Source organism: Homo sapiens, chromosome X, assembly GCF_000001405.40.
Source record: "Homo sapiens chromosome X, GRCh38.p14 Primary Assembly".
In the NCBI taxonomy this organism is placed as follows: Eukaryota; Metazoa; Chordata; class Mammalia; order Primates; family Hominidae; genus Homo; species Homo sapiens.
The window spans coordinates 56,963,762-56,966,107 of record NC_000023.11 but is presented as its reverse complement, the minus strand read 5'-3'; positions in this window follow the sequence as shown (position 1 = coordinate 56,966,107).

Below are 2,346 nucleotides of genomic sequence, written 5' to 3'. Positions count from 1 at the left end.
TACCAAAGGCATAGTTAAAATATTTAGTTGGCCCTAAAGCACTTGGATTTCTCCAAGCTTCTCATTCTTACAGTTTACATGAAATTCCCATCTAGAGGCTTAGGTGCAAACTGTCCTTATCACAGGATTTAAAAATCTGATTTGATTCAGATGGTCCAGGTGAGAGGAAAACAAAATGTCTGATCTGAGGGGCTGTGGGGAATACTGGGCCTTTTGAAACCCCATTGTGACTTAGACGTATTGTGGAGACCTGGCTTGTGGAACAAGCAGATACTAGATCATAACTATAGGTATTAAAAGGTGATGACTTTTGGCCCAGAGGCACATGGGATTAGTGACCTGGAATCACTGTTAGAATCTTTGGAACCCAGTGCCATTTTTGATTATAGCGGTCATAAATACTGTCTGTTGACTTTATTTCTAACCATTCTGAACTGGATGGAATATATAAAACCATTATAATTGCAATTTCTTGTGTTTGACAAACATTTTAGTGGACAGGGTTAACCTTTTGATAGTTAAAATCTTCAGTGCATTTAAGGCTCTATCTATGTCTAGGCATCACACACACATACACACACATGCACACTCACACACTAATGCAGTGTTCAGAACATCCTCCACCCTGATATCTTTAGCTGCTGTAATGTCTCTCTCATGAGACTTTTCCCTACTTATTTATTATTGAGTAGAGATGAATGAACGTTTATTGAACTTTTAATGTCAATAATTCTTGGTATTTAGCAGTAAGTGTTTCAACTATTCTAACAAGTCCTCCCTTTAAGAGTTAAAATGCTCAGTATTAACAAGGTCTCCATGCAGGTTTTATTTTTTTCTTCTACCAGAATTACCTATCCCCACTTTCTTGAGCATTTTCTGATGATTCTCTATATACTTCCATTACAGCCATTTAAGTCAAATATATTTTTAATTAAAATTTTGTATTAAAGTTATACATGCACATAGTTTAAAGAGTCAGCTAATTCTACAGAGTATGTGGCTTAGTCCATTCTGGTTGCTATTTAAAAAAGAACTATAGATTGAGTAGCTTATAAACAACAGAAACTTATTTCTCACAGTTCTGGAAGCTGAGAAGTCCAAGATTAAGGTGCGAGAAGATTACATGTCTTCTGAGGGCCATCTTCTGAGACATAGAAGGTATCTTTTCACTGTGACCTCACATGGCAGAAGAAGGAAATAAGCTCCTTTTGGCTCCTTTTATAAACACTCTAATACAAGTGACAAGGGCTTCACTCTACCTAATCACCTCCCAAAAGTCATATCTCTTAATAAACTATTCAGGTCTCAAAATACGAATTTTGAATGGACACAAATATTCAGTCCATAGCAGTGTGTTAAGGCAAACAGCAGTCACCAATCCACCTCTCTCCATTTCCACTTTGAATTTTCTGGTTATTTTATTGTTATGTATCTTTCTTTCAAAATAATAGGCTTATATAGCAACTTACTGGTTTTTCAGTTTTAGGCATAGTTTATCTGCATTTCAACGTGCAAGATGAAGAATCATTTCTCTTTTTTCCCTCTGTGCCTCAATCATCTCTTTGTGCCTCAACTCCTCCTCCCTCCAAATTATAACTTTTGTTAGACAACTGTGTAGTATTTATATGATTATATGTGTATTTTTTTTTTTTTTACAGCTGAGCCATTTGTTAGACTATGATTACTATTTCTTTCCTGCACAACACCTTGTTTTTTCTGGAATTAAGGTTGGCCTTTTCCCCCACGTACTTGATTTTTGTATGTTCTTATTACTTACCCAAAACTAAAGTCTTTGCTAGCTATCAAAGTCTCCTCTCATACAGTTATTCACAGCAGATATTTTAGCACTTTCATTTTCCTTATGTAGTCTCTTCTTAGCCTTCTGACTTGAGGCAATCTGTACTGATTGCCCTCATACCTGATTTTGGATCACTTTTTTTCCTGTAATTGCTGCCTTTCTCTTTCTGAGTCCAATTATTTGCTTTGGTTCCACATGTCCTTCAGGTAATTAATATACTGAGAAAGGCTTAGGGTCTCTGGCTCTTAGGAGCATAACTTTAAGGTATCTCCAGCTCTCCTAAGTAAAAACACAGTTTGGTTTAACGATGGCATAGGAGAAGGTAGCCTCTCAGAAATCCATCTCTGCTGCTGCTTTGTCAAGGATTTTCTGATATATGAATGTAGCTGCTACTCTTTCTTATGTCAATTCTAAAAAATATCTTTTAGAGATTTATGAAATAGCAGTTTTTTTGTTTAAAGGAAAGACTTAGGTGTGTGTATGTGTGTGTGTGCATGCCTGTGAGTATCTTTGTTTTTACTTTTAAAATGTGCCTAAGATTAGTGTTT